Here is a 14,120-nt window from a genome sequence, read left to right on the forward strand (position 1 = left end):
GTGGTTACTTAACAGTTGAACCTGAAGTCTACTCCTGTCTCAATGTCCAGTTTTCCTTTTGGGGAGCTTCCCGTGGGCTCTCATGTCTATCTGAGCCACTACCTGGGCCTTTGCTGCATTAAGTGCTTGAGAACTGATCCCCAGCCACAGGCCACTTTTTGTACAACTACTAAGAGTTTCAGCAAGGACTCCTTTTGCTACTCTCATGCTGTCCTAAGGGGTCATTGGCCCTTACCCGCTACATAGGACCCACGATTGGCCAATGAATTACAAAGAGGCAGATGATTTTTGAAAACGACACCCCTTCTTCCGGTTGAGGCTGTCTCATGCTTGGGTACATTGCTTGGCATGTGGAATTCCGGCTGAGTTTACACTCTCAGCAGATCTCTTCTCCTAGTCCCTTTGTGCAGGGTACACCTTACACCAAGTTATGGGGTTCTTCTATAATCTCCTGTTTACCAGTCAAATTTTCCCTTTAGTTACTCACAGTACAGTTTAAACTTTAAACATAGGTTATTTCCCAAAAGAATATGGGATTATAGAAAAAGTTCTAAATACAGTGATTTTTAACTGTCACTGTGAGGATTACAAACTCGAAGGCATATAGGGACCACATATATTATGCAATAAAAGAAGAATGGCTAGTGGGGATATGGTAACATTGAAAACACACCCGGCAGAACAGGGGTAGCAACACCTCAGTCCCAGCAGATTGCGGCCATGTGGGAATGATATCACTTATTTTCAAGAGAGGCTAAAAATCTAGATGTTTGTATGACGTTTCACATTTATTTAAGTGTTGGCTTTTTTTTTCTTTTTTTTTTTAAAACAGAGTCTTGTTCTGTCGCCCAGGCTGGAGTGCAGTGGTGCGATCTCGGCTCACTGCAAGCTCCGCTTCCTGGGTTCACAATGTTGGCATTTATTTAAATGCCTCCAGGCCAATTTGGCCCTCAGATTTGGACTCAGAAATCTCTGGGCTGGTGCATGATTTGGGCCTTCCTCAGGCATCTCTTACAGAATACTCCAGGCTGATTTCCTGGCAAGGCTCAGGGCTAATGTCATGCCTTCTTCTCGGTCTATGTCCCTGAGGTAGAGATCACCTTTTTCTTCTTTACCTGCAGCTATATTAAAAACATCTACCTACCTCAGAGACCAGGATCAAGGGATTGAAGTCCAGGGAGAGAAAGCCTTTCCCTCTTCATATGTATTTAAAGCCTGCATTTCTTCCATTCAATAGACATTGACTGTGTGACCACACATAAACAGGCACTGTTCCAAACATATGTATGTACGTCATGACATATGTATGTATGTCACATATGTATGTATGTCAAGACATGCAAAGTTTATTACATGTCCTGGAGGCATATTTTTAAAAGTAAATAAATAAGAAAAAGTCCCAAAATTGTATATATTTGGGCAAAAATAAAAGAGGATAATGAGATAGAGAGGATAGTGGTGGGTTGAGGTTAGATTGGGTTGTCAAGAAAGCCTCTCTAAGGAGGTGGCTGGTTAATATACATATATATATATACACACATACACATATATATACACATATATATACACATATATATACATATATATACACATATATATACATATATATACATACATATATATATACATATATATATATATATATATATTTTTTTTTTTTATTATTTTGAGATGGAGTTTCGCTCTTGTTGCCCAGATTGGAGTGCAACGACACGATCTGGGCTCACCCCAACCTCTGCCTTCCAGGTTCAACTGATTCTCCTGACTCAGCTTCCCAAGTAGCTGGGATTACAGGCATGTGCCACCATGCCTGGCTAATTTTGTATTTTTAGTAGAGACAGGATTTCTCCATGTTGGTCAGTCTGGTCTCGAACTCCCAACCTCAGGTGATCCACCCTCCTCAATCTCCCAAAGTGTTGGGATTACAGGCGTGAGCCACTGTGCCTGGCTGGATGGTTAATATTGAATGTCAACTTGACCGGATTGAAGGATGAAAAATATTGTTCCCAGGTATGTCTCTGAGGGTGTTGCCAAAGGAGATAAACATTTGAGTCAGTGGGCTGGGAGAGGTATACCCACCCTTAACCTGGTTAGGCACCATCCCCTCAGCTGCCAGCATGGCTAGAAAAAGCAGGCAGAAGAACCTGGAAGGAGCAGACTTGCTGTCTTACAGTCTTCATCTTCCTCCTGTGCTGGATGCTTCCTACTCTCAAATGTCAGACTCCAAGTTCTTCAGCTTTTGGATTCCTGGACTTACACCAGTGATTTGCCAGAGGCTGTCAGGCCTTCAGCAATAGACTGAAGGCTGCACTGTCGGCTTTCTTACTTTTGAGTTTTTGGGATTCAGACTGGCTTCCGTGCTCCTCAGCTTGCAAACAGCCTATGGTGGGACTTCACTTTGTGACCATGTGAGTCAATATGTCTAATGAGCTCCTCTTCATATATACATATATCCTATTACTTCTATCTCTCTAGAGAACCCTGACTAACACAGGAGGAATCTTGAGTAGAGTTTCTGAGAAGCAGAGCCCAAGATGGGGATTCCTATGAGTGATTGTTGAAGGTATGCTCTCAGGGGAAGTAAGAATAGAGACAGGAGACCAGCTGGGTTACTGCAGTGTTCAGTTGACAGACAATAGAGACTGGACTAGGAAAGTAACCATAGAAAAGATAAGAATCTATCAGAGTTGCAAAATGTTTTGAACAAAAAGCAGACAGGATTTCCTGATGAATTGAATTCTGAGGTAAGGGGAAAAATGAATCAGGGATAATCTTCAGAATTTTTGGCATTTGTTAGTTGACAGTGTTATTGGCTAACTTGGGTTAATAAACAAGGGAAAGAGAAAACAATGCAGGGAAATGAATACCTTTTGGACATGCTACATTTGAGATGCTTATTAGAATTCTAGTATAGTTGTTATGTAAAAAGTTGGACAAATAAGTTTAACGCTCAAGAGTGAGGTCAGGGCTACAGTCATAAATTTGAGAGTCATTTACCAATTGATAATATTTAAAGTCATCAAAAAGGTGATACCAACCAAGAGAAAAAGTATAGAGAAGAGGGCCCAGGATCAAGCTCTGAAACATCCAGTATGTACAGCTTCAACGGAGGAGAGCCAGTCATGAGCACTAAGAGAGAGATGTGTGGTTTCATCAAAGTTGAAATAGACCTTCTATTTCACTAACTCTCTTCTAATTCATTCCTTCTTCCTGGTGTGGTAGCTGTGGAATTTAGATGGGATTGATCCTATCCTATCTCCAAAAAAGTTCCCAATTAGTGCAAATCTGTCAGGATAATATTATCCCCCTTGACTCAGGAGTTGGTTTTGGTAGTACTGGCTTAATTCAAATAATGCAAGTCATTATCTTGACTATATAATTCTATTCCAGGCTGTTTTAATAAATATAAAACTCAGGGTTTTATTTTTCCACAAATAAAGAAAAACTATCTTTTCTTCCAGGTGTAGGTGAGAAAGCAATTTGCCCTAGATTTGGCTGTAAGCTGTCTTGAAATTATAAAGAACACACTCATGGATGAAATTGACTCTTGGAGGAAGGGCAGAACTCAAAGGACTGTATATAAATGGAGCTAGAGGCCAGACCAAACTCTATTTGAAGGCATCCCATTTTACTCCTGATCTTTTCATATTTGTATTTTGTCAATGACCTGATAAAACCCCTTTATTTTTTAAGCCAGATTTTCTAGAGTTCAGTAACTTGCAATCCAGGGCCCTCCCATGGATGCAAAATTTAGAAGAAAAGAGTATCTCAGGAAGAAAAGGGTGACCACAGTGTCAAATGCTGCTGAGATTAATTTAAAGGAGGAAAGAAATTAGTGCTCGAATTTTACAACATAGATACTGTCGATGACATTGATAAATGGCATTTCTCCTGTGGCAAAGTAGTTCAAAGGAAGCACACATAATTTTACAAGATACTAGGTATTTTGAATGCATATCACTCTAAATCCATACTTGGAAATTAGACCTTCTCTGAAGGTAACACAGTGTGCAGATATGCAACTCTGCCCAACATCAACAAACACTCAGACTAGCACATCAAGCAGTTTAGCACCTGAATTCTGCAACTTCTGAGACACTTCAATTTCTAATAGTCATCTCCATAAAACAGTTGTACAAAAATGTCTGATTTGTGTGATTTTCCAAGAAACAAGAATGATCTGCCACAAAGGTTTATTTAATTGTCATAATAATTTCTCACTTGATCTTAGCCAAAAGTCCGAGAAGCCATTAATTGTCATAATAATTTCTCAAGATTTTAACAGTGCCATTAAGATTTAAATGCTCTAAGAGGTAGTACTGGTCAGATTTTAGGTGTAAGCTACCACGTATTCATCCAGAAATCTGTGCTCAGGCCCATGATACAGAAATGCATCTAAGCTCTGAGATTATAGCAATGGAGAATCCATTTTGCTTTTCCAAATCTTTCTCTGGAGAATCACTGCCTTTTCCCTGGGTATTTGTTAGCTGACCTTTTTGCCAAGTCTACACCCACTCTCTACTCAGGTTGAGCTAAAACACTCTGTTAAACTTTTTTTTTTTTTGGTAACTTGAGATATGAAATTTAATCCTGTCAAAAATGGGCTATGTTAACTTGAAACTTTAGGATATGCTCCTGTTTTTATTGGTGAAGCTTTCCTAGCAATGTGAAAAAGGATACCATTACACCATGACACTCAATATTCCTGGAATTAATTACTGAACCAGCTTTCGAACTTTATCTTTTCTACATTGGACTTATTTTGATACTCTGATCATTATTTTATTCCTCTTTTGCGTACTTTTCTACTTTACTGATTTATTCATTAAGAATCTTTTTCTTATTTTAAATATGTTCTGTTGCTTCCTGGATATCACTTTTTTTTTTCCTCCTGGAGTGACATTTCAATGAACTGAAAAACCTGAATCACTCCCCATGTTTTCAGGCTTATGATTAGTTAGAACTATTTGGTGAAAGAGAAAGAAGTCTAACCCAAATTAGAATGTAATAGTTCATATAAAACTGAAAAAAAGCATCAATTTGTGTACAGATTTGAGGAAAATATTTATTTAATCTCTCAAATGTGGAAATTAGGTATGTATCGACTTTGCTTTCTTCTAAGGTTTAGCCACTCTCAAGGAGACTCTACTTTCCTTGAAATAACAACTTTGGAAAGGAAATTTGATATTTTAATCAATTGGACGTAGGTTTGATTCCTATCCCTGGAATTAAGGGTGGAGTCAGTTCCAATTGAAGTTCATGATCTGAGAGCAGTGGAGGAGATAAATTCCCCTCCCTCTCCAGAACTGGGAGCTATTAACAGACAAGTAAAAATGAATGATTGGCAGTTTCCAAATGTCCATTTTGCCACCTATTATTCCACATACATATCAACTTTTGGGAAATAATTAGGTTTTTTAAGACTGAGGTTTAAAGTGAAAAACTCCTCGCTAAGTTTATGGTGAGATGCTGAAGCAACGAGAGAGAACAGAAACAAGAAATGGGTAGAAAAACAAATGGAAATTTAATGAGATCCATCTAAAAACAGAAATGGATACTGGGGTATACAGTCAGGAATCAGAGCCAGGGATATGAATATTATAGTAGGCAAAAATCATCTATATAATTACATTTTCAGAGATATGTATTGACATGAGAACATGTAGAGATAAAATACTCACCAAAACTGTCACATTTCAACTTCTTGAGCACACAGCTAAATTGCACTTCTCAGCCTCTTGCATTTAGGTGTTCTCATATGACTGAATGTTGGTCAATAGTGTGAAAGCAGAGGTCATAGGTATCATTTTCAAGGATGACTTCTGAAATCTCCCATGAGATCCTTCATGCCTCCATACTAAACCTTGTCTTACCTGTTAGCCAGATCCAGAGAATCCATTATATGGCTTTGAAGCACCAGAAGAGGGCATAGCCACTAGGTGGAAGGTTCCAGGGTCTCCGAATGACTGAGTGCAAAAAATATACCTATTAAACTATTCTCAACTATGGTTTCAGTGAGAAATACATCTTAGTTATGTAAAGCACTGTAGGTGGAGTTGTTTGTTGTAGCATTTGGCATTCTTTACTATTTTACATAATATAGAGTTGAGTCATTTTTTAAATGTGAAAAGTATGTATTATAACATTTATTTTAAAAAATAAAAGAAGAAAACAAATAAAAACAGTAAGAATGGTTAACTCCAGGTGCTGGGCTTACTTGCAATTTAAAATGATTTTGTCTGGGATTTAAAGCAATTTTTAAAAGTAAAATAAACATTATATGCTGCAAACAAAATTTTAAGAAAAGCTAAATGGGAAAGGTGTTGAGAGATGTTTGAATGTTGTGTTCCGTATTGGTTTGATTTTTGGAGTGTGATCTGGAGCACAGAGCATAAGCTGAGTGATTAAGTTTTAAAGAGATTGCACAGACAAATACTTCCTAAAGAATCTCCATTTGAACATTCAGGGAACTTTTATATCTGCAAGCTACTCTCCCGGTAGATCTAGAACAACAAAGATTACTCCCAACATATAAAAGAGATTTCATTAGGTGCATTGGAATGAAGAAAATCTTGTTTAAATATGGTTAACGGCAACTCTAAAACACAAACTTTGGGCACTTTCAAATCAAGAACCTGATTAGTAGTAAAGAACCCTGGCACGTGGAGTGACCAGTCCAGTGAAAAAATGGTGTGGACAAGAATACAATACAGTACTTAGGATGCAGGCTTGCTTGTTATAAGAATAAGGCCTCCAAACATATTGGCTTGCTTGACTTAAACAGGATCAAAGTTTGCCTTATTCATCTCCTAGAAGGGAGTCCAAGGCTGGTAGAATTATTTGACAGTACTGAAGATGGAAGCTTGCTCATTTGGTTGCTCTCCCATCTTGAGCGTATTGCCTTATCTGCATGTTTGCAGATGGCTCTCCTCCACTTCCATATTCCAGTCTATGAGAAGAGGCATAATCTAGAAATTAAACACATTGCTCTGCTCAGATTGCATTGGCCCAAACTTAAACAAACTGTACATATCTTCAAGGGAGCCTGAATAATCTTTACCTAGTGACCATAAATACTATGAAAGTTCTCTTGTTTAAAAAAAGAAAGTAAGAGTGAGTATTGGGTGTTAACTAGCATTGCACAACATACAGAGAAGAATCCTGGGCAATTAGAACAGAGGAAAAATTGGAAAGAATTAGATGGGCCCAGAATTAACAGTATTGGTGAAGAAAGAAAAATTGAAATTCAATCTGCACTGTTTATTACTAGTAGTTTATTGTATATAATTGTGTTAAAATTACCCTCTTTGTTAAAAAGAAAAAGGTTCACAGGGTACATTAATAATTTAAACTCCTGAGTGAGTGAAAGAAATCTTCAGGTTTTTGCTGTACATTGATAAAGAGGATCAACTGAACTACATTGACTCTCATGAGTTCTAGTCCTGCTACTCATTAAGGAAACAGAGTTTTAGGCAGGTACAGGAGCTGACAGTGTTGTGGTCAAAATCTCTGAGCTAGGAGATTCCGAGAAACAAATAAATAAAAGAAAAGATAGCCAAGAAAGGTAAAATAAGGAAAAGAATCTGACACCAAGACTGCAGCTTCCCAGCCTCAGTGGTCTTAATTCAAACCCTCTCACCCTGGAAAGATACAACTCCCTCCAGATAAGACCTTGTCAGCTGTGTGGGAGATAGGACTTGTGAGGAGGATCCAGACTGTTCTTAGGCTCTTTTCCTCCACTCTAAGCATGGCTTCTTTGGTAGGACTGGGCTTTGGATCTGCTTTTCTCACTCCTACACATATGGGCATTTATTGGAATTAGACTGACTTTCTTCCTCATATTCATCAACCTTGACTGTCCCCCACTGATCCAAGTATCTTCCTACTGGGCCTGCTATTTCCTTCTGCTACAAATCTTCACTCCACTCCCATGCAATTTCTCCCCTTTTCCACTTATAATTTATCTTAGCCTGACCTTTGGATAAGCTTAAGAACCGCAGCAATATGTGCTCTTTAAATACAAGAGAAGAGTGTATACTTAAAAGAAAGGTTTGATTAAGACAGACAATTTAAAATTCAGCCACTTCCATTTTTCAAACCTACTTGATGTGAATTGTATTCCCACTAAAATTGTGATCAAGAAAACTTTCACAATTTGTTCTTTGGCTTACAAGGTGTTTTGGCGCTTCTTTACAAAGACAACTGGAATGACAAAGAGACACCCAGGCCCATTGGAACACAGAGTATTCTATAGCTAAACAGGTCCACTGAATTCTCATTAGGATGAACTGGTAATTGATATTCCAATTTATGTATTAAACAAACATGCATTGTACACCTTCTAATGACCACAAGACAACCGAGAACTTAAGTGTACAATCTTTCATGTTAAATAAGAGTACCTACATCATAGAGATTGTGAGGATTAAATGTGACAGCATGCTTAAAGAATTTAGGGCAGGGACTGTCATTTAGTAGGTACTCAATAAATAAAGGTTATTCGCGTAAAACAGTACTATGTTTTGGAGATTCAGTGATAATTGACAACATTTTTGGCTTTGAAAGTCTTTGACGAGCCAGCAAAAAAAGGGATTCAAAGACATTAGAGGAGAGTATTGAAATAAATTAAGTTGGAATTTCTAACTTTATCAATTAATAAAATCTGAGTGAAAATGAAATGCCTGAAGACAGGTTTTGATAAAAAATAGAGAAAACCTGTTAGGTACGCGATTGGGAGGGGTTAAGTCTGAGCTGAGAAGACCTTGTCAAAATAACAACGTTTCTGAGGGTCAAACCTGAACCTGGACGTGACAACTATTTACTTCACTTTCTTGTCATTTCCTTCCTGTTATTCATTAGGTTTTAGGTCTGCAGACATTCTCAGCGATAATACAATTCAGCAATATATCTATTCTTTGAATTTATGGAAAAAGAAGTGATAAAAAATAAAAATTCTATAAATCAGAATTATATTCTGCACATGATGATATGGTAAGATAAAATATGTATTTAAGCACCTGAGCATTTTTAATGTTCAGGAGAATGTTTCTGGTTGACACAATGATGTCCACTTGGTATTCTAAGGTTTAATCTCTTAAGATGTGAGGGCTAACCACAGACTAGTTTACTATTTGACTTTGTTAAAAATAAAAAGTATTTATAGACAGTTGAATAACCAATTTATAAATTTAAGCTTATCTCACACAATGTGGAAAGTCAAAGTAACATTTGCTTATATTAAGCAAATATATGTGTATATATTTGAAATGCACGTTTATATGTGTGTGTACAGAGCCAGGTTCTCATCAGGAAACCTCACACTCAAACACAGTAAAGGAAAATAGTTTGATACTGGGTCTGTTTACCAGGTGTGGGCTTGGTTAAAGGAAACCACCAAGAGATAGTGAAGTACTTCGGAGTTAGTAACCACAGAAATCCAGGGAGTTATTACTGCCCTTAGACACAAAGAAGCAAGGTGAAGGAGCACTTCAGTGAACTGGAGATGATAGCTGTAATTGTAGCTGTAGCCATAGGAGAAGACTCAGCAAAAAGGGCCTGACTGCACCTATGGCTTCTGTAGAGGGAACAGCAAATCCATTATGACCCTGCAGAGGGAAACTGAGGAGTATAATACCTTGCTTATTACCCAGCTATTCTCTATCCACTGCTCTATCTTCCTTTGGCCAAATCCAACTGGAAGGCAAAGGTCAGAAGACAACAATGATGCAATTCAAGGAAGTAGTATCTTCTTGTTCACTTGTACCTTTAGAAAATAATTGGTTTATTCAATCTATTTTTCCCTGTTGGATTATATTTTTGAGACATTAATATTGCCAGTTCCATTTTTTCTTTGTTAGCATTTACTTATATCATTGTTCCATTATTTATTTCCAAACTTTGTCTTATTTTGTTTTATTGCCTTTCCTAGATATATTCCTGACTATTTTAAGGACAAGATTTGAGAATTTGAGTTTGATTGGGAGATTATAACTCATTCAAATTTACTCTCATTCCTGGTATTTTTGATACACTATTATTGCATTTTTGTTTTCCACTCATGCTTTCATAGTATTTATTTTTACATTGTATCTTTTATTCCTCACCTTTCTTATAATTAATTATTGTTTCGAGGAATGTTTCTTCATATGCTTTATCTCTATTTTTAGTAGATATTGTAAAAATTTAACAATATTTAAATTGTATTGCTCTATCAATATTTGGCCTTAAACAATTCAAAAAGAGGCATAGCATATTTGGAGGACTTTGGGCTAAATAGAACTTTGCAAATTTTATGAGCCAAAGGAAGGCCATAGATCCAAGGAAAGACCAATCTGAAATGAGAATAACTAGGTAAGCAAGGACAATTGCAATAAAAGTAGTTTGGGTGAAGTTCAGCTCTTATGTCAATGCTACAATAATTCTTCTTGAGAAACATCTGTAAAGTCTTAGTGGCATACAACAATAAGCACTTATTTCTGGCTTACAATCTATTAATGAACTGAGGCAGCTGTGCTTTACGCTAAGGACCTGCTCCAGATAACTCTGATCTTTCTTCTGGGACTAACAAGCTGATGGTGATGGCAGAAGTGCAAGAGGGGAAACCCCACTGATCATGCATATTCTGAACCCCATCACATCTGCTAATATCTCATCAGATAAAGTGATTCACATATCTGAAGCCAAAGATAAGGAGGGGACATTCATACCTTTGTGGAAGGAACTCTAAAATCTCATGACAAAGGGCATGGATACAGCGAAGGGTAAAGAATCACAATTTATAATTCAATCTACCACACCTTATACTTTTCACGAGTTTTATACAAGAAAATGAAAACAGATCACGAATCGTACACCAAAGGCCTTCCTATAAGGAATTTTTACAGCTACCATGGGCCAGGTGGCAAAGTAGGTGAAGCTTTGTAGGCCAAGTTAAAATGTTGGATTTTATTTTAAGTTCAATGGGAACGATTGAGAGACTTTAAGCAAATAGTAAAGTAACCAATTTACACTTTAAAATGATTACCTTGGCTACTGGAATGGGGGAGGGAAGAAATAGACTATTATAGCAGACTTTTGGTATTAAAGTGGCATTGCGGATGGTAAAGAGTGGATACTGTGTGTATATACATACACACATATATGCTACATATGTTATTTTATGAAATATAATGAGCATTTTGAAAAGAGAACAAAACAAGTGTACAGCACAATAATTTTCCAAATGTGAAGTACAGTTAAGCAATGTTTCTACAAGCCAAATAGAGACATAGAACATTTTCTGCACTACAGGACACATCTTCATGCTCCCTACCATTCAGTAATCCCACAAGCTAATAGCTGTTGCCATATGTTAGTTTTTTGTGTCTTTGAGCTTCATATAAATGAATTCATAAGCCTATTTTCTCTTGTATATAGCTTAATTCTCACTGCTATGTATGTGAGAGTCATCCACATTTTTTCTTTTACCAGTAGTTCATCCTTTTGCAGTGCTGTATAATATATCATTATGCAGCATAATCTGGTATCAGTATACCAGATTTATTCATTCTATTAGCTTTGAATCTTTTTGCCCACTTAAATTGATTTTATTGATTTGAGGAGTTATCTACCTATTATGGATACAATCCTTTGTCAGGTATAAGTATTAAAAATCTTTTCCCCATTATAGCTTTAATTTAAATCCTTAAATTTGTCTTTTGATAAACTAAGAAAGACCTAAAGAAATGAAAGTTTATTCTCTACTCATGTATTGGAAGACTTGATATTCTTTGTCAATTCTCCTCAAACATATGTATAGATTTTATATAATCCAAGTTACTATTTAATATTTTCATGGAAATTGACAAGATGTTCTATTTAGAAATGCAGGCCGGGCGCGGTGGCTCACACCTGTAATCCCAGCACTTTGGGAGGCCGAGGCGGGTGGATCACAAGGTCAGGAGATCGAGACCATCCTGGCTAACACAGTGAAACCCCGTCTCTACTAAAAATACAAAAGTTAGGCGGGCGTAGTGGCGGGCGCCTGTAGTCCCAGCAGCTGGGGAGGCTGAGGCAGGAGAATGGCGTGAACCCAGGAGGAAGAGCTTGCAGTGAGCTGAGATTGTGCCACTGCACTCCAGCCTGGGCGACAGAGCGAGACTCCATCTCAAAAAAAGAAAAAAAAAAAAGAAATGCAAAGGATTTAGAATATCTAAGACACACTGAGAAGAAAGTAAGAACTTATACAAACAGATACCAAGATTTCATTATAAAGCTACAGCAATTAAGACAATGCAGTACGACACAAAAATAGACAAATTGGTCAATCCAGAGCAGATTGCCTGGTCACATACATGTACATTTACAGTCATCTGGTTTATTACAAATTTTCCACTTTCAATTAAGTATAGAAAAAATTGTCATTTCAATAAGCAAAATACAACAAGTTGGTATCCTAATAGAAAATGTCAACGTTTAAACAATAAAGTTTCCAGAGAAAAAAGAATGAAGCAAATACACCTTAAACAGGATACAAGAAACACTCATCATAAAAAATATTTATAAATAAACTTTATTAAAATTGGATATATTTTTATTGAAGAATTGACAGGAATTTGTGATGTTAGAGTTGAGTGTTAGAAGTTTCAATTATGAAAAATGAACATGTTTTAGAGATCTAATGTACAACATAGGGAAGATAGTTAAAAATACTGTATGTTATGCTTGAAATATGCTAAGAGAATAGATCTTAAATTTCACCACACACACACACACACACACACACGCAGAGTAATTATGTAGAGGTGACACATAAGTTCACTAGCTGCAACATAGTTTTACAATATATGTGCTACATCAAAATATCAAGTTGCACACCTGAAACATATATGATTTTTATATGTCAATGATATGTCAGTAAAACTGCTAAATTTTATTTGAAGATTATTTCCAAGTTTCTGGCATAAGAAAATATGTCGTTGGATAGAGGGCTCACTAACTGAGGTGGGAACACCAGAAAAAAGCACATTTGATGGGAAGAATAGTGTTGCCTTCTGATATCTTGTGTTCCCTGTTTTAGTCTCTGTTCCAATTAGATTATCATCAAATATATAGCATAGGGATTTAAAAACTATTCCTTTCTGTTTCCTCTTTGAAACTTTAGGCATTTCAGGTAGACACTGTAGAGTATACCTATAACTCTGAGCAGTATCCCTGGGGCCAAAACATCACAGGCGCCCTAGTCCAAATGAAAGACTCCAAGTGATTGCCTGAGCCTGAATATCATGGCATATATAGAGATCAGGCAAAGAAACCAAAGTTACCAGATGAAATCCCTAAAGACAAACGTGAACACCCATTTGTCTTTTATCTCGATAATAGTCCCTCTTTCATAATGTGAGTTATAGGCCTAACTTTAAAAAGGACTATGACTCATATTTTACCTGAAAAAAAAATAATATTGGACTCACCTCAATGAACTTCACATCTGAGGGTTTGGCACCTCAATTTCTGGCTGCCTCAGCAGCTCACTCTTGCCTTCAAACAAATATGTCGTTGTATTTTATGTAGTTCTTCCTAGGACAAAAACAGAAATGGAAGAAATCTCTGGCCTCATCTCTTAAAATATTGTCAGCTCAGAAAGTAAGGAGTTAGTTTAAATAAAATCAATTATGGGAGAAGATTTCCATGGGGGCAGTCAAGGAAGTCCTGAATGTTAGTGGAGCATCTATGTGATGGCAAACTCCACAATTTTGTTTAGAGTTCTATATAAGAAGCAAAATGGTAATGGATCGGTTCCATTCAAAATCCCAACAAGATTTGGCAGGCTTAACGATGGTTCATTGCCTTCAAATCTACTTATAAGTTTTTCATTTAGGTACAATGAAGTTATGGATCTTCCTCAAAAGTGAGTGCAAAAAAAGGTGGTTCTGGGTGACACAGAGTTTGGTTCACAATCTGGATTATATCATCTGGCTTTGAAGGCTACTGACTTGAACAAATGTGTTAGCTTGCATAGAATTCTGTTGTCTGTGTTGTATAAGCATATTCTTATCACCACAAAACATCATATTATAAATTAATTATTTCTTTGTTTATTACATGTCTCTCTTTCCTAACTACAGCTCTATGGACAGGATATT

The 14,120-nt window shown here is 36.8% G+C and overlaps 2 annotated features.

The window, feature by feature from the left end:
• Positions 666–835: an enhancer, noted in NCBI's record as "experimental_20815 CRE fragment used in MPRA reporter constructs". NCBI's record gives its function as "activates a minimal promoter by MPRAs in K562 erythroleukemia cells, with activity observed for both the introgressed and non-introgressed 11:22412424 variant alleles {active_cell/tissue: K562}" and the evidence as "EXISTENCE:reporter gene assay evidence [ECO:0000049][PMID:34662402]".
• Positions 13,293–13,462: an enhancer, noted in NCBI's record as "experimental_20847 CRE fragment used in MPRA reporter constructs". NCBI's record gives its function as "activates a minimal promoter by MPRAs in K562 erythroleukemia cells, with activity observed for both the introgressed and non-introgressed 11:22425051 variant alleles {active_cell/tissue: K562}" and the evidence as "EXISTENCE:reporter gene assay evidence [ECO:0000049][PMID:34662402]".

Source organism: Homo sapiens, chromosome 11, assembly GCF_000001405.40.
Source record: "Homo sapiens chromosome 11, GRCh38.p14 Primary Assembly".
In the NCBI taxonomy this organism is placed as follows: domain Eukaryota; kingdom Metazoa; phylum Chordata; class Mammalia; order Primates; family Hominidae; genus Homo; species Homo sapiens.